The 18924-nt window shown below is 55.7% G+C and overlaps 1 protein-coding gene and 1 non-coding gene across 8 annotated transcripts, besides 9 other annotated features; both read right to left on the bottom strand.

Moving 5' to 3' along the window:
• Positions 3367-3920: an enhancer, noted in NCBI's record as "H3K27ac-H3K4me1 hESC enhancer chr11:64141007-64141560 (GRCh37/hg19 assembly coordinates)". NCBI's record gives its function as "activates a minimal SCP1, AML or CMV promoter by ChIP-STARR-seq in naive H9 embryonic stem cells {active_cell/tissue: H9 hESC(naive)}" and the evidence as "EXISTENCE:reporter gene assay evidence [ECO:0000049][PMID:30033119]".
• Positions 3921-4476: an enhancer, noted in NCBI's record as "H3K27ac-H3K4me1 hESC enhancer chr11:64140451-64141006 (GRCh37/hg19 assembly coordinates)". NCBI's record gives its function as "activates a minimal SCP1, AML or CMV promoter by ChIP-STARR-seq in naive H9 embryonic stem cells {active_cell/tissue: H9 hESC(naive)}" and the evidence as "EXISTENCE:reporter gene assay evidence [ECO:0000049][PMID:30033119]".
• Positions 3921-4477: a biological region, named in NCBI's record as "H3K27ac-H3K4me1 hESC enhancer GRCh37_chr11:64140451-64141006".
• Positions 4428-4477: an enhancer, noted in NCBI's record as "active region_4903". NCBI's record gives its function as "activates an Ori minimal core promoter by ATAC-STARR-seq in GM12878 lymphoblastoid cells {active_cell/tissue: GM12878}" and the evidence as "EXISTENCE:reporter gene assay evidence [ECO:0000049][PMID:35858748]".
• RPS6KA4 (ribosomal protein S6 kinase A4) lies at positions 5240-18293 on the bottom strand. 7 transcript variants are annotated; one of them, NM_003942.3, is made up of 17 exons: positions 18165-18293; positions 18006-18077; positions 17074-17292; positions 16863-16978; positions 16214-16321; positions 15906-15986; positions 15710-15813; positions 15453-15603; positions 11990-12154; positions 9195-9323; positions 8854-8987; positions 8658-8751; positions 7836-8009; positions 7562-7756; positions 7071-7230; positions 6729-6892; positions 5240-6172 (listed from the first exon to the last, which is right to left on the bottom strand). In NM_003942.3, the coding sequence occupies exons 1-17, from the start codon at positions 18217-18219 to the stop codon at positions 5975-5977; spliced, it is 2319 nt and encodes a 772-aa protein (NP_003933.1). In that variant the 5' UTR covers positions 18220-18293; the 3' UTR covers positions 5240-5974. The 7 variants fall into 7 exon arrangements, with proteins under 7 accessions (NP_003933.1, NP_001006945.1, NP_001287731.1 ...); NM_001006944.2 differs by having other exon boundaries at positions 8854-8969; NM_001300802.2 differs by having other exon boundaries at positions 8854-8966.
• Positions 7777-8296: an enhancer, noted in NCBI's record as "H3K27ac-H3K4me1 hESC enhancer chr11:64136631-64137150 (GRCh37/hg19 assembly coordinates)". NCBI's record gives its function as "activates a minimal SCP1, AML or CMV promoter by ChIP-STARR-seq in naive H9 embryonic stem cells {active_cell/tissue: H9 hESC(naive)}" and the evidence as "EXISTENCE:reporter gene assay evidence [ECO:0000049][PMID:30033119]".
• MIR1237 (microRNA 1237) lies at positions 8752-8853 on the bottom strand. Its single transcript, NR_031602.1, has one exon. It is a non-coding gene; the product is annotated as a microRNA 1237 (primary transcript).
• Positions 16898-17007: an enhancer, noted in NCBI's record as "active region_4902". NCBI's record gives its function as "activates an Ori minimal core promoter by ATAC-STARR-seq in GM12878 lymphoblastoid cells {active_cell/tissue: GM12878}" and the evidence as "EXISTENCE:reporter gene assay evidence [ECO:0000049][PMID:35858748]".
• Positions 17741-18268: an enhancer, noted in NCBI's record as "H3K27ac-H3K4me1 hESC enhancer chr11:64126659-64127186 (GRCh37/hg19 assembly coordinates)". NCBI's record gives its function as "activates a minimal SCP1, AML or CMV promoter by ChIP-STARR-seq in naive and primed H9 embryonic stem cells {active_cell/tissue: H9 hESC(naive and primed)}" and the evidence as "EXISTENCE:reporter gene assay evidence [ECO:0000049][PMID:30033119]".
• Positions 17741-18507: a biological region, named in NCBI's record as "H3K27ac-H3K4me1 hESC enhancer GRCh37_chr11:64126659-64127186".
• Positions 18018-18507: a silencer, noted in NCBI's record as "silent region_3480". NCBI's record gives its function as "represses an Ori minimal core promoter by ATAC-STARR-seq in GM12878 lymphoblastoid cells {active_cell/tissue: GM12878}" and the evidence as "EXISTENCE:reporter gene assay evidence [ECO:0000049][PMID:35858748]".

Raw genomic sequence — 18924 nt, 5'->3', positions numbered from 1 at the left:
TGCCCAGGTTAGAGTGCAGTGGCGCAATCTCTGCTCACTGCAAGCTCCGCCTCCCAGGTTCACGCCATTCTCCTGCCTCAACCTCCTGAGTAGCTGGGACTACAGGAGCCCGCCACCACACCCAGCTAATTTTTTGTATTTTTAGTAGAGACAGGGTTTCACCGTGTTTGCCAGGATGATCTCGATCTCCTGACCTCTTGATCCGCCCACCTCGGCCTCCCAAAGTGCTGGGATTACAGGCGTGAGCCATCGTGCCCAGCCTCTTACTGATTTTTTCTAAAATTAACATTTAATTAATATGAATTTTTACTTATACATGCATATTATTATATAGTTGTTCGACTACACATAAATATTCCTGGAAAACTACACAAGAACACATTAGCTTCCTCTGGCAACAACAGAAGGTACGTGGCAGAGGGTCAGCATGTGGAAGAACATTTTTCACTATGTACTTTTATGGATCCTTTGAATTTTGAATCATATGAATTATATATATATATATTTTTTTTTTTTGAGACAAGCTCTCATCTCACTATGGTGTCCAGGTTAGTCTGGAACTCCTGAGCTCAAGGGATTCTCCCTCCTTGGCCTCCCACAGTGCTGGGATTATAGGAGAGAGCCACCCCACTCGGCCAAATTTATCGTCTTTCACAAATACAAATAGAAACTAAATTTAAGTTTTAAAACAAAATAAAAGATTTTTTTTTTTTTGAGATGGAATCTCGCTCTGTCGCCCAGGCTGGAGTGCAGTGGCGCCATCTCAGCTCACTGCAACCTCCACCTCCCGGGTTCAAGCGACTCCCCTCCCTCAGCCTCCCAGGTAGCTGGGATTACAGGCCTGCGCCACCACACCCGGCTAATTTTTATATTTTTAGTAGAGACGGGGTTTTGCCATGGCTGGGTTGGTCTCGAACTCCTGACCTCAAGTGATCTACCCGCCTCGGCCTCCCCAAGTGATGGAATTACAGGGATGAGCCACCGCACCTGGCCAAAAATAAAAGATTTAAGGGGTATCTTTGACATTTCACAAAGCCCATTTTTGTGCAGCAGTGACCGTGGAAGGAGACTGTTTATATCAGAGTCACAAACTCAAATGCCTAGAGGGCCAGAGGGATGAATGCAGGACAGAGCTGGTGTAACCACAGGGAGTGGTGGGGACTGCGGCAACCTGGAAAGCAGAGGCCCTGTCTGTGGCGGCAGCGTGATTCTGCTCCAGCTGATTAGACCATGCAGGAAGACTGCCCCAGGGCCAGCCCTTCCAGCTCATCAGCAAAAGCCTCACATCTAGGATTCCATATGCTTTTCCTCATTTTACAGCGTGTGCTTAGGCCAGGTGCGGTGGCTAATGCGTGCAGTCCCAACACTTTGGGAAGCAGATCACTTGAGCTCAGGAGTTCAAGACCTGCCTGGGCAACTTGGCGAAACCCCATCTCTACAAAAATACAAAAATTAGCCAGGCATGGTGGCGCATGCCTGTAATCCCAGCTACTTGGGTGGCTGAGGTGGGAGGATCACTTGGGCCCAGAAGGTTGAGGCTGTAGTGAGCCGAGATTGCACCACTACACTCAAGGGTAGGCGACAGAATAAAACACTGTCTCAAAAAAAAAAAAAAAAAGTGCTGGCCCCAAAAATGAGTTTCTATAGGCCAGGCACAGGCCAGTTTGCAATCTCTACGTTCATATGGAATATTTTTGTTTACACTCCCAAAGTACCTTAGGGAGAAGTAACTTGCTTAGAGTCAAACAGTGACTCTAGAACTTTGAGATGGAGTCTCGCCCTGTCGCCCAGGCTGGAGTGCAGTGGCACCATCTCAGCTCACCACAACCTCCGCCTGCCGGGTTCAAGCGATTCTCTTGCCTCAGCCTCCCTAGGAGCTGGGATTACATGCATGGGATTACAAAATGCCTGGCTATTTTTTGTATTTTTAGTAGAGACAGGGTTTCACCATGTTGGCCAGGCTGGTCTCGAACTCCTGACCTCAGATGATCCGCCCACCTCGGTTTCCTAAAGTGCTGGGATTACAGGCGCGAGCTGCTGTGCCCGGCCAGAACTTTAGTTCTAACAGTAGTTATTAATAGTTAACAGCAGGCCAGGAGCGGTGTCTCACGCCTGTAATCCCACCACTTTGGGAAGCCAAGGCCGGAGGATGACCTGAGGTCAGGAGTTCGAGACCAGCCTGACCAACATGGAGAAACCCCGTCTCTACTAAAAATACAAAATTAGCCGGGCATGGAGACGCATGCCTGTAATCCCAGCTACTCGAGAGGCTGAGGCAGGAGAATTGATTCAACCCAGGAGGCAGAGGTTGCGGTGAGCTAAGATCACACCACTACACTCCAGCCTGGGCAACCAGAGCAAAACTCCGTCTCCAAAAAAAAAAAAAAAAAGTTAACAGCGACTTGGAGGGAGCCAGAGGTTTACAGGGCTGTCGGACCCTCTTGGGGCGCCAACATTTTATCAGAGCAGGAAGCCCAAGCCTGTTCACTGAGGACATTTGAAGAGTGGAAACAGAAGCCCAGTGTAGGAGGGTGACCTCTCCTGGCTCCCCTGGAAGAGCCAGCCTCCATGTTAGGTAAGGCTAGTCAGCAGCCAAAGTCAAGGTATAGAAGCAGGGGGCCAGACCTAAGACCTTGAGCATTGGCCTCTGGCCTCCCTACTTCCCTGCCTGTGCCCACCGTGTCCCCTTCCACTCTGCCGCTTTACACCCTGGCCAGCCTGCAGCTCAATCACATCTATCTCCCACCCGCAGGCTCCTTGACCACACAGAGAAGAGGCAGGATTCAAACCAAGGCTGGCTCATTCCTCTAAGTCCCTGCTCTTTCCACCCAGCATCCTCCCTTCTCTGGGTTACTGCATCCTCTGAACCGTTTCTTCACCCCTGAAATGAGGCTAAGTACTCCGGAGGCTGAAGCAGAAGGATCGCTTGAGCCCAAGAGTTTGAGGCTGCAGTGAGCTACGATGGCACCACTGCACTCCAGCCTGGGCAACAGAGCAAGACCCCATCTCTAAAAGCTAAATTAGGCCAGGTGCAGCGGCTCACACCTGTAATCCCAGCACTTTGGGAGGCCGAGGCGGGCGGATCACCTGAGGTCAGGAGTTCGAGACCAGCCTGCCCAACATGGTGAAACCTCTTCTCTACTAAAAATACAAAATTAGCCGGGTGTGGTGGCAGGCGCCTGTAATCCCAGCTACTCGGGAGGCTGAGGCAGGAGAATCACTGGAACCCAGGAGGCAGAGGTTGCAGTGAGCTGAGATCGCACCCCTGCACTCCAGCCTTGGACAACAGAGCCAGACTCCGTCTCAAAAAAAAAAAAATCTCTTTTTAAAATAAAAGTTAAATTAATTAATTAATAGGAAGAAATGAGGCTAAGGATACCTCTTTCATAGGGTGGCTGTGAGTTACATGGAATGAGAGGTGAAGAAATTGAAGATGAGAGACTATTTTGCATCCACTCAATTAGAAAAGGTTTTGAAATGGTAATACTCAGTGCTTGTGAGTATCTGATGAAATGGGACCCTTTCATCTCCTTCAATGAGATTCCCGCCTAGAGTGCTCAGGAGGGTCCCTACACATTGGAAAAGGTCAGTAAATCTCAATAAATTCCTGGTGACTGAGTGACCATACTCTTAAATCTGTTAATTCTCTAGTTCCTCTTTTCGACAAATAGGGGAGGTTGGGGCTGTTAGGTGACTTGCTAAAGTCACACAGCTGGTAACACAGGAGTCAGAATTAGAGCCTCAGAATTTCTTCCCTTCTCCTGAGGGCCCCTTGTCCTGGGCCCCTTCCTGTTCTTTCAGACCACCAGGATGGGACACAGCTGGCGCCCGCATACCCTTTCCACTCCCCCGGAGCCCCACCTGCCCACAAGGACTGCCTGATTCGCCTCACCTGGGCACCTCTGGGTCCCAGCCCAGATCCCCAGGCCTCCCGGGGACAGGAGGGGAAGGTCCACATGAGATGGTCTCACAGGGTAGCCACAGGGAGAGAAACGATGGGGAGGCGGCCCAGGGTGGGGTTCAGGCAGACCCTGGGGCGGGAGCTGTCAGGACATCCCCATGTGTGGACAAAAGAACCTACCTGCGGTGCTGGCAAAAGTGCTCAGGCCACAACCGCCCTATGGCCACACACACACACACCCCGCAGGGATCACACAGGGAGGAGTCTCAGACACTCCCTGAGGGGAACCAAGCTCTGATCCCAGTGAGGGCCCTAATGAATGGGGCTGATCCACTCACTCCCACCTTCACTGACCACCCAGCCGGGTTCAAGTAACCTCCGTCAAGGGCCCACCCCTCCCCTACTCTCCACCCAATGAGCCTCCAGAGGGGAGGCCATGGTCCAGACCTAAGCCAATCAGCACACTGCCTCCCTGGCCACAGTGATTGGTTCAGTGTGGGCACATGACCTCAGTGGCTCCAGTCAGAGCACATCTCAGGACTTCCCTTGGGAACCGTGAAACCATTTCCATCTCCATATTTCCATCTGGAGTCCCTGGAGCGCCTGGCACCCGTCTTGGGTCCATAAGGAGAGTCCTCCAGACTGGACCACCGCCAAGAAAACAATAAAAAGCTCGGCAGACTCGGCAGACTCGGCAGCTGAGTCCTGATCATGTGCTTCAGTCTGGATTAGGTCTTGCCTGAAGCTATCGAGAAGCTGCATAGTTCCAAGAGCCCCCCAAAACCCTGTGTTTTGCTTAAGCAAGTTTGGGTTGGGTTTTCTCTTACAGACAGTCCCCGACTGACTTATGCTTGACACGAATTTTCCGACCTACGATGGGTAATCCCATCGTAAGTCAGGAAGCTCCTTACCATTTATTTATGTTTTCTACTGAAAGCCTATCGCTTTGGCACCATGGTAAAGCTGAAAGCCGGTAAATCAAACAATCCTAAGTCAGGCACCGTCTGCTGTGTTGCAGACATTAAATGTATTTTCGGCTTTCAGCATTTTCTATTCAGGTTGGGTTTATCGGGATGTAGGTCCACCCTAAGTCAAGCAGCAGCTGTATTTACAACCAAGAATATCCTAAATGATACCCAGCAGAGCTGTCCGGATATACACCCAGGATGAGAGTTGCGCCCTCCTGCTCATAGCAAAAGTCAAGGAACAAAGAATATCTTCTTGCCCAGAAGAGTCTGCCTGTCCCTCCCCACTGAGGTTCCAAACTCCACGGGCTAGCAGCCTGTCTGCCCAGAATCTCTGCTCTAGACACCCACAACACGAACGAGGACACGCAGATGCCACACACAGCACTGGGTGGACTTTTATTTTAAAGTCAAAGGCACAGCCTGGCTGGGCTGAGGCAGTGACCATGGATGCCCAGCCCAGACCCCCAAGGCCCCACCCCCAGCCAGGAGTAGCTGTGCCAAAGAGGAAGGGGTGGGTGAGAAGATGGCCTCCTCTTTTAGGAGCCACCTATCTCCTTCCTTAGCCCCAACAGGGGAGAAGCAGATGACATAAAGTGAGGCAGAAATGCTTCAGAGGGTCCCCCAGGGCCTCTCCTTCAGTACCCCCAACACGGGTCTTTGGTGGACGTAATTGCACAGACAGTCCATAAAGTGACAGTTGAGGGGTGCCCCTCCCAGGAACGGGGCCTCAGGGGAGAACAGGGTAGGGGGTCCCAGTTTAGGAGTTAGCACTCCTAACTCAGTGCTTAGAAGTGGGGGAGGGGCTCTTTCCTGTTGGAGCAGTCCCCCTGGAGGGGCCTTCTGCCCAGAAGAGGCAGTGTCCTGGGAGAGGGCCCCCCAAACCCCACTCCCCAGCAGGCCCCCCCTTCCCTGCAACTCTATCTGGTAAGACATAAAAAATTCTCTGCTTATAAAAATACTTCTGCTCTGTCTGGGAGTGGGGTGGGGTAGGAGAGGAAAGGACAGTCCCTTGGGGATCAGGTCAGCCGCAGGCAGAGGCCTCCGGGAGTGAGCCGGGCTCCCAGGTCACAGCCCCTATGAGGGAAGGGGGTCACAGTGGTGGGGATTAGGAGGGGGGCAGGGGGCCGTTGGCTCGGCGGGGGGCCCCTTTGGAGGCGACGGGGGCTCGGCCCGGGTTGGCTGGTGCAGGGGAGCCCCGGCGGGAGGCGGTGGCGCTCCGCAGCTTCTGCTTCCGCCGCTTGGCCAGGGGTGCATTCTCCACGCTCTTCAGGAAGAAGCCCTCCCGCTTGCCCCGGTTGAATGCCTGGCAGAAAGGAAAGGGTGAGTGCCCCCACCCCCGCCTGACCCCGGCTTCCAGATCTAGTTTGACCTCCATTCCCAGACCTTGCCTCCAGCCGCCTAGGTCAAGGCCGACAGGGCCTTGGCCTCCAGACCGACCACCGGATTCGGTTCACCTCCCTTTTTTTTTTTTTTTTTTTTTTTTTGACGGAGTCTCCCTCTGTCGCCCAGGCTGGAGTGCAGTGGTGCAATCTCAGCTCACTGCAACCTCCGCCTCCTGGGTTCAAGAGATTCTCCTGCCTCAGCCTCCTGAGTAGCTGGGATTACAGGCGCGCGCCACCACACCCGGCTAATTTTTCTCTTTTTAGAAGAGACGGGGTTTCACCATGTTGTTCAGGCTGGTCTCGAACCCCTGACCTCGTGATCCGCCCGCCTCGGCCTCCCAAAGCGCTGGGATTACAGGCGTGAGCCACCGCGCCCGGCCTCACCTCGCCTTTCTGTGCTCCGATGGCCGGGCCTCCCCAGACCCCACCTCTCGAGGCTTCGCCCACCCCTTCCCTTCAACAGACCCTGCCCCTTACCATGAAGGTGGCGTTGAGACCCGAGCGCACTGCGGGCCCAGAGGACTCGAGCACGTCGGGCGTCCGGAGCGGGGGCGAGGAGCGCGCGCTGCCGTCCTGCAGCCACGAGCTGCCCCGCAGTCCCTCGAGCTTCAGCCGCTTGGCGGGGTCCACGGTCAGGAGCCCTGGAGGCGGGGCAAGGAAGTGTGGGGAGGAGCCTGGCGTAAAGGCTGAGCCCCAAAGAGATCGTAACAGCCCCACTCTCCTCCCCTACCCATCCCCAACCAGGACACCTGGCCCAGTGACCATCCCTGTCCCAGCGTCCCCCTCCCCAACCATGGTCTATGACCTCCAGCTCCGCACCTCGGACCAGCTCCTTGGCTTCCTCGGATACACCCTGCCAGGCCTCCCCGTCAAGGGAGAAGCGCCCCTCGCGGATTTTGCACATGATCTCGGCCGCCTGGCTCTGCCCGCCCTGGCCAGAGGCCCCCTGGAAGGGGACCTGCCCCGACAGCATCATGTACTAGGAGGGTGAGGGGAAGGTGAGGCCGGCCCAGGCTGGGGTGCCGAGGCTGACCCCTCCGCTCCCACAGAACCACTCACCCTCCCCACTAGGGGCACTCCTGAGACCCACGCGTGGTGAACCCTGACTTCTAACCCCCAATACCCGGATGCTCCGACTCTAGCACCAGAGCGACCCCACCTCTGTATTTGAACCACCCCGATCCCAGCTTCGGACGAAACCCAGCCGCCCCCACCAAGATGACCCCTGTCCCCTCCCTCGTGCTGCTGCACATCAGGAAGACGCCAGGTCCGAGCGACCCTGACCCCGCCTCAAGGACCGCGTCCCATACCAGAATGACGCCCAGGCTCCAGAGGTCGCAGGACTCGTCGTAGCCCTGCTGCGCCAGCAGCTCGGGGGCAGCGTACTGCAGCGTGAAGCAGGGCGTCTGCATGGGCACCCCGGGACTCTGCGGCCGCAACCGCGCGAACCCGAAGTCGATGATTTTCACCGGGGCCCCGGGCGTGTCGTCGGCGTACAGGATGTTCTGCGAGGGCGGCGGGGTAGTGGTCAGAGGCAGCCCCCGGCGCCACCGCTCCGCCCCGCCGCCGAGGCAGCTCGCCCACCTCCGGCTTGAGGTCGCGGTGCACCACGCCCGCCTCCTCGTGCATGAAGCTCACGGCCGACACGAGGCTGCGCAGGATCTGGCTTGCTTCCGACTCGCTGAAGTGCCGCTTCTTGCGGATGTGCTCCAGCAGCTCCCCGCCCCGCAGCAGCTCCAGGACCAGGTACGTGTGCAGCTGCGGGCGGCGTGGCGGGCCAAGGTCAACACCCACCCACGGCGGCAAGCCCCCTCCCACCACCCAGGCCCCGCCCCCGGCCTTCGGGCCCTGCCAATGTTCGAGAACCCCCTCCTCAAAGTCCTTTTTCTTTCTTTCTTTCTTTGTTACTTTTTTGGAGACAGTCTCGCTTTGTCGCCCAGGCTGGAATGCAGTGGCACCACCTCGGCTCACTGCAACCTCTGCCTTCCGGGTTCAAGCGATTCTCGTGCCTCAGCCTCCCAAGTAGCTGGGATTACAGGCGCACGCCACCGCGTCCGGCTAATTTTTGTATTTTTCGTAGAGACGGGGTTTCGCCATGTTCCCAGGCTGGTCTCGAACTCCCGACTTCAAGTGATCCGCCCACCTCGACCTCCCAAAGTGCTGGGATCACAGGCGTGAGCCATCGCGCCCGGCCAAAGTCCCTTTTCTTGTCCATCCTCAGCTCCGCCTTCCCGTCCTCAGGCCCTACTCCCCTCAAATTCCACTCCCTGCGCCTCCCTGGTCCCTTTGGGCCCCGAATCAAACGCTAGGCCCCGCCCAATTCACCCCTAGATCCCGCCCATAGTGCCCCCAAGCCCCGCCGCCTGCCCCTTTTCTCTCCGCCCTCCCCTGGCCGGAAGCCATCACCTGGTCGTGATGCACCTCGTGCAGATTCACCACGTTGGGGTGTGACTGGCACAGGCGCAGGGCAGCCACTTCGCGCTGCGTGTTCGCCTCCAGCCTGGGGGACGGAGCAGAAGGAGTTACGGTCGCCGCGCTTCGGCCCCGCCCCCGGGACAGCGCTCTGCCACCCCCACCCCTGCCCGCGCCTGGGCCCTCCCACCTGCGACTGAGGATCTTGACTGCGAACTCCTGGCCGCTCTGGCGCTGGCGGCAGCGGCGACACACAGAAAAGCTGCCCTGGCCCAGCGCAGGCTCCCGCAGGTCCAGCTCGTACTGCTGGAAGAAGGGCGAGTCCTGGAGGCGAAGGCGAAGGCGAAGGCGAAGGCGGCGCGTCAGAGGTCCCACCTGGTAGCCCCGCGGCCCCGCCACGCCCCATGTCGGAGAGGCTTAGGACCTTGCTGAGCTCACGCTGCGGGCGCCAGTTGGATCTAGGCCTAGAGTCCCCGGGCCTAGGCCTCTCCTAAAACCAATTTCCCCCCAACCCAGCCCAGCCCAGCCCACCTGCATCATAGCGCTCCTGGCCACCGCTGCCCGACCTGGCCGGTCTCCAGCACCAGGCGCTTCCAGCCCATCGGTCATCACCGCGTTGTTGTGGTCAAAGAGAATGGAGGGTGCCACAAAGGAGTATCCCTGCAGGGCGGGAGTCCGGGGAATGGGCATGGGCATGGGGGTTGGGGGTGCGGGTGAGGAGACTCTGGTGGGGAACCAGGCAAAGGCAAGACCCTGGACAAGGGGGCAGTGGGGGGTGTTCCAGTTGCATTCTGGTACACACAGGATGTGTGGACACTTTTTATTCCACCTGGTTTTATAATCACTTGGGGCCATGTCTGTCCCCACCAGCCTGTGACCCCAACTTTCTCATCAGAGTGACCACTTATTCCTCCCCAGGTGCCAAGGGCTGAAGGCACTGAAAGGACCAATGAATATATTGAAAGTGTGGCCTGAGTTCACGCTTAGCTTATGAGAATCCAACTCTATCCGCTGAGGAAAAAAAACTTATTCCTCCCTTTCAAGCCGGACTTTGGCTTCTTCTGCAAGGGGAGCTACTGAAGAAATGCAAAAAGAAGGCAGAGTTAATTCTTTGCTTTTCCTAAAGATCCATGTCCTGGCAATTTGAGGAGCTTTTAAGGGTCATTTTAATTGCGTGTTGTGGCCAGGCACGGTGGCTTGCGCCTGTAATCCCAGTACTTTGGGAGGCTGAGGCAGGTAGATCACCTGAGGTCAGGAGTTTGAGACCAGCCTGACCAACATGGAGAAACCCCATCTCTACTAATAATACAAAAATTAGCCAGGCGTGGTGGCACATGCCTGTAATCCCAGCTACTCGGGAGGCTGAGGCACGAGAATCGCTTGAACCCGGGAGGCAGAGGTTGCGGTGAGCCGATATCATGCCATTGCACTCTAGCCTGGGCAACAAGAGCGAAACTGCGTCTCAAAAAAAAAAATTAATTATCTGGGAGTGGTGGCACTTGCCTGTAGTCCTAGCTATTGGGCAGGCTGAGGTGGGAGGATCACTCAAGCCCAGGAGTTCAAGATTGCAGTGAGCCATGGTTGCCCAACTGCACTCCAGCCTGGGCCACAGAACAAGATCCTGTCTCTAAAACATTAATTAATTAATTTTAAAAAATAATTTTAAAAATAAACTATGTGTCATCTTCTCCTAAAAATGTAGTACCCAGATCCGTACCTGGAATATTTTAGGCACTCACTACACATTTTTGAATCATTAAATGAATGAATGAAAGTACCTACCAATTCAAGAGAAAGAACTTTATCATGAGGGCTGTGAGACAATGGAATGGAATGTGGACATTCAAGCACAGAGTTGTCAATTCTAAGAGCTTCAGAGAAGGGACTTATCCAGCCATACTTGGTCTGTCTATTAAACAAACCATACTGGTTTATTTAGTGATAATGATATAATATCATTATGGCAACATGATAAACTGCACAGAAGGAGATGCTGTCCACAGAGGACTGCAGCACAAAGAAAGGGTGACCCCCTGGGCCAGGTGAGCAGACAAGGAGGCCTAAAAGAGGGGTAGAAGCTTGCCATGTAGACTGCTGTAGAGAATGTACTCCAGGTAGCAGGAGCAGCAAGTGCAAAGGCACAGAGGTATATTCTGGAACCTCTGAGCAGTTCGATCATGCCCTCCAGAGCATCAAGTAGGAAAATGATGAGAACTGAGGCTAAGGTTCTAAGCAAGGACCACATCATGAAGGGCCTCAATGCCCAAGCAAAGGGAGTTTGGACTTGTCCAAAAGGTGTAAGCTTCTAAAATTCAGTAGAGGGGGCTTGGCATGGTGGCTCATGCCTCTAATCCCAGCACTTTGGGAGGCCGAGGTGGGCGGACCACAAGGTCAAGAGATTGAGACCATCCAGGCCAACATGGTGAAACCCCATCTCTACTGAAAATACAAAAATTAGCTGGGTGTGGTGGCGCACGCCTGTAGTCCCAACTACTCAGGAGGCTAAGGCAGGAGAATTGCTTGAACCCGTGAGGCAGAGATTTCAGTGAGCCAAGATCTAGCCACTGCACTCCAGCCTGGAGACAGAGTGAGACTCCGTCTCAAAAAAAAAAAAAAAAAAAATTCGGTGGAGGGGACCTGACCCTCCAGGAGTGTACCATGCTATGCCAAGGGCATGCAAAGCCACAATATCAACATGCATCTCCTCCTAGGTGTCCACGTGAGAAAGTGAAGATCTCTTTTTTTTTTTTTTTGAGACGGAGTTTCACTCAGTCGCCCAACCTGGAATGCAATGGTGTGATCTCTGCTCACCGCAACCTCCGCCTCCCAGGTTCAAGGGATTCTCTCACCTCAGCCTCCCGAGTAGCTGGGATTACAGGCGCATACCACCACATCCAGCTAATTTTTGTATTTTTAGTAGAGACGGGGTTTCCCCATGTTGGCCAGGCTGGTCTCGAACTCCTGACCTCAAGTGATCCACCTGCCTCAGCCTCCCAAAGTGCTGGGATTACAGGTGTGAGCCACCACACCCAGCCGCAAGTGAATAATTTCAAACAATATTTTTACATAACAATAAAGAGATGATGGAATAGAAGGGAAATTAACAGAAGGTTTAAAGATAAACCATGAACTATCAAACACACATCCTGCCTGGGTGGTCTCTGTGACTGACAACCCTAGGTCCCACTGAAGTGGCGACGTCTAGGGGAGACGCTGAGTCCCAATCAGGACACAAGGCCTAGGCAGTGTCCTCGGGCCAGCCAGGGCTGAGGCAGACAGCAACATCTCATCTCTCCTGCATCTGGGTTCCATGAGTTTCCCCTCACCTGAAAGATTCGGGGGTCCCCAGGTGGGGGGCTGCCAGGGGGTGAGTAGACAGGCTCCAGCCGAGTGAATTCCTCCGCAAAGTTGCCCACATCCAGCTCTGAGCGGATTTGGGGCCGGAATGGGGCTGGAATCTTCCTGGCAGCCAGAGCCACCCAATCGAGGCCCTGAGGGAAGGGAATCAGAGGTCAGGTGTCAAAGGCCAGGAACGAGAAACTCCCTCCACTCAGCCCACCCTCACTGGGCAGTTCCTCCATGAGGCAAGGGCCCATCTGGCATTTGGGGTGGGCAGCTGTTCCTCCTGCCTCCCTGGCTTCTCTCTCCCTCTGGTAACACAATCCCTATTCCCCTTAGAGAACCACCATGACACCACACTTAGTCAGTTCTGGAACTTTTAATAGAATTGGTGTGAAAAGGTCGGGCGTGGTGGCTCATGCCTGTGATCCCAGGATTTTGGGAGGCCAAGGCAGCTGGATCACCTGAGGTCAGGAGTTCAAGACCAGCCTGGTTAACATGGTGAAACCCCATCTCTACTAAAAATACAAAAAAAAAAAAAAAAAATTAGCTGGGCGTGGTGGTGCACACCTGTAATCCCAGCTACTCAGAAGGCTGAGGCAGGAGAATCAGTTGAACCCAGGAAGCAGAGGTTGCAGTGAACCAAGATAGCGCCACTGCACTCCAGCCTGGGCGACAAGAGCGAAAACCCCATCTCAAAAAAAAAAAAAAAAAAAGAGTTGGCGTGAAAAACAAATCTCTTTCTCCTGCTGGACTTAAATCTAAGAGGATGTGGTCTGGAACTGCTGGGGACCCTCTCAGGGTTAGATGAAGTCCCCATGCAGAAAAAGCAGAACCAAGGGACATAGTTTCAGCACCTGGATGTGGTCTTGCCTTAAGTCAGACCACTTTCCCTCGACCTTTTCACTTATGAGAGCCAAAACATGCCCATTTATGTTTAAGCTAATGCGGCAGAATCTGTTGATTGCCTGCTCAATATCCATTCTCCCTGTCTTCCTTAGTACCATAGCCCCAGTTTTATTCCACGAACCAATATACACAATTAAAAGAATATTTTTACAAACTTGCTTGCAGTTAGGGGTGACCAAAACTTATCAGAAAAAAATTATTAGGTAGGATTCCAGGAACAGATCCTGAAGAGGGAGGTTGCTAGGTGGCATGTGCTCCTTTTGCCCCTTCTCCTTCCTCCTGCTCCCTACCTGGGAGACAGCTTAGATGGCAAGAGCTCCAGCAACCATGTTGGACCATGAAGCAACCCCAGGGATAGAAGCTACTTGCTAAGAATAAAAAAAAAATTAAAAAAAAAAAAAGAAGAGGAAGAGTTTGGATTCCTGAAGACAATGTGGCACTGTGAAGACACTGCGGCAGCCCTGGTCTGCTAATCTGGACTTCTTTTATGTGAAAAGAAAAATAAGTAAGCCACTTATTTATAAGTAAGTATAATAAAAGGTTTACTTATAAGTAAACCTCTTAGGTCACTCTGTTCATTCTGATCTCTGTGGCTAGCACCAAACTTGATTCCAACAGATATCACCATTTTGAGTTGGACTTTTTGTCGATGTAGCCAAGATGACTGACTCAAGCTGGAAGGCTCCAGTTCTACCACCAAGGACCTGAGCACTGCTCTCACCAAAGAAGCTGTCCAAGAAAAAGCAGAAGGAGGCCAGGCGTGGTGGCTCATGTGTCTGTAATCCCAGCACTTTGGGAGGCTAAGGCGGGCAGATCACGAGACCAGGAGTTTGAGACCAGCCTGGCCAACATGGTGAATCCCTGACTCTACTAAAAATACAAAAATAAGCTGGCCATGATGGTGCGCACCTGTAATCCCAGCTACTCGGGAGGCTGAGGCAGGAGAATCACTTGAACCAGGGAAGCAGAGGTTGCAGTGAGCCATGATCATGCCACTGCACTCTGGGAAATAGAGCAAGACTCTGTCTCCAAAAAAAAAGAAAAGAAAAAGAAAAGACAGAAGGAGGGAAACACCCTTCCACACATCAGGCCTTGAAGACCTTGGGGCCTCTCCTGTATGACTGGTCAACCCACTCCAGTATCCAGCGCAGCACCCAGCATAGGTGAAGGGTGGGCTTACGGAATTCACTGAAAGAAACCAACACTGCTCAGATGCTTTCCCCACCCCGTGCAAAGGGACATCTTCACCTCAAAGACATAGATTCCTATGTAAGAAATCATCTCAGGCAGGCCCTCCCAGGGCTTGGAAGATTCAAAGAGATGGCACTCGAAGTATGAGTAACACAGTACCTGGCCCACAATAAGTACCCAGAAATGGGTGCTTTTGTTTAGATGTCAGACGGATGGCAAATCTGATGCCTACACTTAAGCAGAAGACCATTAAGCACAGGCATTCAAGCCTCTCAGCCTTGGGTTGAATCTGAGCTCCATCACTTCCTGGACAAAGTACTTAATTGTTTGGAGCCTCAGCTTCCTCATCTGTAAAGATGGGGACAAAAATCAAGGTGGTTGTGGCAGGGCGTGGTGGCTCACACCTGTAATCCCAACACTTTGGGAGGATGAGGCAGGTGGATCACTTGAGGTCAGGAGTTCAAGACCAGCCCGGCCAACATGGTGAAACCCCGTTTCTACTAAAAATATAAAAATTAGCCAGTCGTGGTGGCCTGTGCCTGTAATCCCAGCTACTTGGGAGGCTGAGGCAGGAAAATCGCTTGAACCCCTGAGGTGGAGGTTGCACTGAGCCGAGATCGTGCCACTGCACTCCAGCCCAGAAGACAAAGTGAAACTCCGTCTAAAAAATAAGAATCAGGTAGTTGTGAGGGTGAAATGAGTTCATGTCCGCAAAGGGCCGACACACAGTAGGTATTGACTGTTACAAAGTCCTGCTGGGCGATGACGCTGGCCAGGCCCAGCCCCTGAGTCAGTGCATTCTCGCATGGCCAGATTCACTCTGCACTGCACTCTAACATGTGTGTGCTCCTAACAAGTGAGCAAACACCCATGTGTGCTGATCAACCGTCCATCTGAATGACAGGCACACAGACTGTACAGGGACGGGGACAAAGAACAAAATGCCTGGGTGGGTGCTAAAAGCCATAAGTGTGGGTTTCCGTACTGATTTGGACCAGCAGGAGATCTATCTAGACCCAAGGTCTATTCCCAACTCGGCACCATTTACTGTGCCGTCGGGGGCAGGTCACCTGCCTTCTCTGGGTCTGTCCAGTGAAAGGACCGACCAATCCATTCTCAAATCCCTGACAGCCCCAACAGCCAATGAACCTAGAATCCTTTCTTTCAGGAACACATCTGCCAAGTTTCAGTGGGGATGGATGTGAAGAGAAACCTAGCTGACACACACTTGCTTTCTTTCTCTGGGGGGATTTCCAAATAAAGTGAAACTGGCCAGGCACAACCTCAACCTGGAACAGCAGCCCCACCTGGGTATGCACCAGGAGGTATGGGGCCCTGAGTCAGCCTCACCTGGAAGAAGGGATGGTTCCGGACTTCTTGTGCCCCCTGGGGCCCCGCGCCCAATCGCTTCTTAGGATCCTTACAAAGCAGCCGCTGCAGCAGGTCCTGCGCCACGGGCCCGATCCGAGGGGGGAAGGGAGGGGAGCACTTCAGGATCCGTCTGGGAGGATTGGGGGGGTGTCAGGGGCAGCAAGCCCCCCACCCACAGCCCTGCCCAGGCAGGCCCTGCAGCCCTCTGGCCGCCCTCCACGTCCAGCCCTACTCACCGAGACACCTCAGCCTGCGTGTTCCTCTCGCCCTCCAGGGTGAAGGGCGAGGCCCCCGTCAGCAGCTCGAAGAGCAAGATGCCCAGGCTCCACCAGTCCACAGCCTGCCGGGTGGAGCCGGGGTGAGGGCCTGCATCTCCCCTGCCTCACACCCCACCTTTCCACCTCCCCCAGCCCCACTTCCCTGCCAACCTACCTTGCCATGCCCCGTCTTGCTACGGATGATTTCGGGGGCCATGTACTCGATGGTGCCACAGAAGGAGAAGGTCCGCTCTTTCTGGGAGGGCAAGAGGTCCTGCTTAGATGTCGAAACCTCTCCTGTGCCCCAGTGCCCCACAAGGCCCAGAGTAAGACTCGCTCAACTTGTGAGGTTGGAGAGCTGAGCTGTGGAAACTTCTTGGAGCTATTCACTTCTGCAGCCCCAGAATGCAGGCCCAGAGCAGGAAGAGGCAGGAAGGAGAAGGATTGAATGGGGCACTGCAGGCAGAGGTGGCCTCCACTCACCTCCTCCGTCAGGAACTCCTTGCTCAGCCCGAAGTCCGTGAGGACAATGTGGCCCTCGGAGTCCAGCAGCACATTCTCCAGTTTCAGGTCTCGGTAAATGATGCCGAGCTGGTAGGAGCAAGAGGGGTGCTGAGGCTTCCTCCCCGAAACCCTCCCCAGCTCCTCCAGCTCCTGGCCCTGCTCAGGATAAGGAGACCCCCCAGAGAAAGTCATCTGCCTGTAGAGGGGGTCTCCAGGGCAGAGCCACTGAATAAGAAAGGCCATTTAAGATATAAAACAAAGAAGGAGGGCCCCGTGGATCAGGCCCCAAGGTCCCAGAGAGAGGAAAGTCTGTGTGAAGAGCTCCATTTCAAGGAGGCCTTAGGAGCCAGGCCGTGAGGTTTCCATTTGAGGAAGTTCTGTGAACGCAGCCCCGAGTTCCCTGAAAGAGGAAAGCCCCTTCGAGGAGGTGCCAGGGGAGGGGACCCCACCAGGCAACGTTGAGGCTTCCTGCAAGGGGTCCAGGGGAAGCAGCTCCAATTCCCACCCAGCTCACCACTGGCCCCCCAGGAAGCCCAGGGGGAAGCCTGAGGCTGCCCTGCGTGCAGATTCCTTCCAAGGCACAGACCCAGTTTCCATAGCAACAGCCTGCGGCCAGGTCTTCACCCACCTTGTGCAGGTGTTCCAGGGCCAGCACGATCTCACCCCCATACACGCGCACCTCAGCCTCCTTGAAGTACTGGCGCTGGTAGAGGTGGGTGAACATCTCCCCGCCGCTCACATAGTCTGGGAGGTGCAGTGGAAGTCAGGAAGCAGCCCCGTCAGGTGGCCTCGCCTGCCCCCAGCCACCCCAACCCCGTTGGGATGTGGTGTGCGCTCACCCAGGATGAGGTGCAGCTTGGCATCCGTCTGGAAAGCGTAGTGCAGCGTGACCAGGAAGGGCGCCTGGCGCACCAGCTCCAGCACCGAGCGCTCGGTGCGCGTGTGCTCTTGCGTCTTGGCGCGCTGCACCAGCGCCGCCTTGCGCAGCACCTTCATGGCGTACAGCTTCCCCGCGTCGTGCCCGCCCGCCTTCCGCACCAGGAACACCTTGCCGTAGGCTGTGGGAGCAGCGAGTGGGTGGAGGGTGGGCTGTGAGCGGGAGATTGGTGCAGGCTTGGGGGGTGGGGGCGATGCCAACCCAGGAGGGTGTGCAAATGAGGCGAAGGAGCTGGGGCAACAGGCAGGTGTGCAAAAAGCTGGCAGAGCCTTCTAAGGAAAGGGTGTGCACACCCCGGGAGGGTGCCCAGCAAAACCAGGGAAAGGATGTGCAAACCAGGCTGGGGAGCATGCATCTCCAGGGGGCCTGCTGCGAGGCATGGGGGCGGGGCATATGCAAACCTGCGAGAGATCAGATGGATGTGAAAAGATGCCAGTGCAAGGAAGGGAGGCAGAGGTGTGCACCTGGCTGGGGAAGGGATGCGCAAACCAGCGCTGGGGCATTTGCAAAATGTGGGAGGGGGATCCCATATTGGAAGAAAGGGAGGAGCTATGCAAATCACTTGAGAGGGGCGCCAGTCCCCCTCCCCAGGGTGTTGGCAAATCCAGGGGGGTATGCACGCACAGGACCGTGGAGGGAGGAGTGATGTCAATGTGGAGTGCCCTGGAAGTGGGCATGCAAACTCTGGCGAGGCAGGGCGGGGCAGGCAAGGCAGGCTGTGCCGGGAAAGGGTGGGGGGCCTGCTCAGTGGCCTGGCCCAGGCCCAAGAGTGAGCAGGCAGGAGGTCAGGGGCACCGCGCCTGGGACGCCTGCCCGGTGGATGGGGGTCCTCACCTCCCGTGCCCAGCACCTTGAGCAGCTCGAAGTTCTCCACGCTCACCTTCTCCTCGTGCCCGGTCAGGTTGGCTGTGGGCACAGGGGGCGAATGAGCCCAGCCGGTCCATGACCCGTCCCGGCCTGCCCCGGGCAGCCGCAGTCAGGCCCCACACCCACCTTCTGTGATCCGCAGCTCCACGGCGCAGCTCTCATCGTCGTCCTCGTCCCCCATGGCGGGCGGGTCGCTGGGGCCCGCGCGGCTCGGGCTCCGGGCGGCGCCGGTTACATGGCGGCTCCGGCCGGGGCGGGCGCTTCCTGGTGCCGCCTCCGGGGCCGAGGCGGGCGCCGGCACCGCCTCCCGGCTCCCCGCCCTGCGCGGCCTGAGTCAGGCGGCTGGAACGTGACAGCGCCGGGCTGCCGGTGGGCGGCCGGCTGGGGCCGCCCTGTCTCCCGAGCCCCCAGGCCAGGCCTCAGGGCCGTGCGCTCCGGGACCTTACTCGACTCTCCCGGGAACTGGAAACACCCCGTGGGAGCCATCCCTGAGCCCGTGGGTAACCTGGAGCCTCTGGGGCATTAGTCCCCAAGCCAGGAATCTGCCCGGGAATGCCGGCTGCAGCCAGTGGCTGGAGGACATTAGGAGTCTGTGCCCCAAGGTGGGGGACGAGGTGCCTGGTGCTGGGCAGGCTGAGAGGGGGTCTGGATCCTGGAAGTCACCCAACTCTCAGGCAGTGGAGCCCACCCCACTCCATCGTCCTGGGGGTGGCCAGCAGGGCCCCTCTCCCCAGAGGACTGGCCTTTGCAAGGAGGAGCCTCATCACCAAGAGGGGGCTGGAGCCCGGCCTGGGACCCCATGGCAAGGAGAGGAGTGGCCAGTTTTCTGACCAGCTTTCTGTCGGGGGTGCCTGCAGAAGCACTTCAGCCCCCAGTCACCGTGCAG

Source organism: Homo sapiens, chromosome 11 (assembly GCF_000001405.40).
Source record: "Homo sapiens chromosome 11, GRCh38.p14 Primary Assembly".
In the NCBI taxonomy this organism is placed as follows: domain Eukaryota; kingdom Metazoa; phylum Chordata; class Mammalia; order Primates; family Hominidae; genus Homo; species Homo sapiens.
The sequence above is the reverse complement of the archived record's forward strand: the minus strand, read 5'-3'. Positions and strand labels throughout refer to the sequence as shown.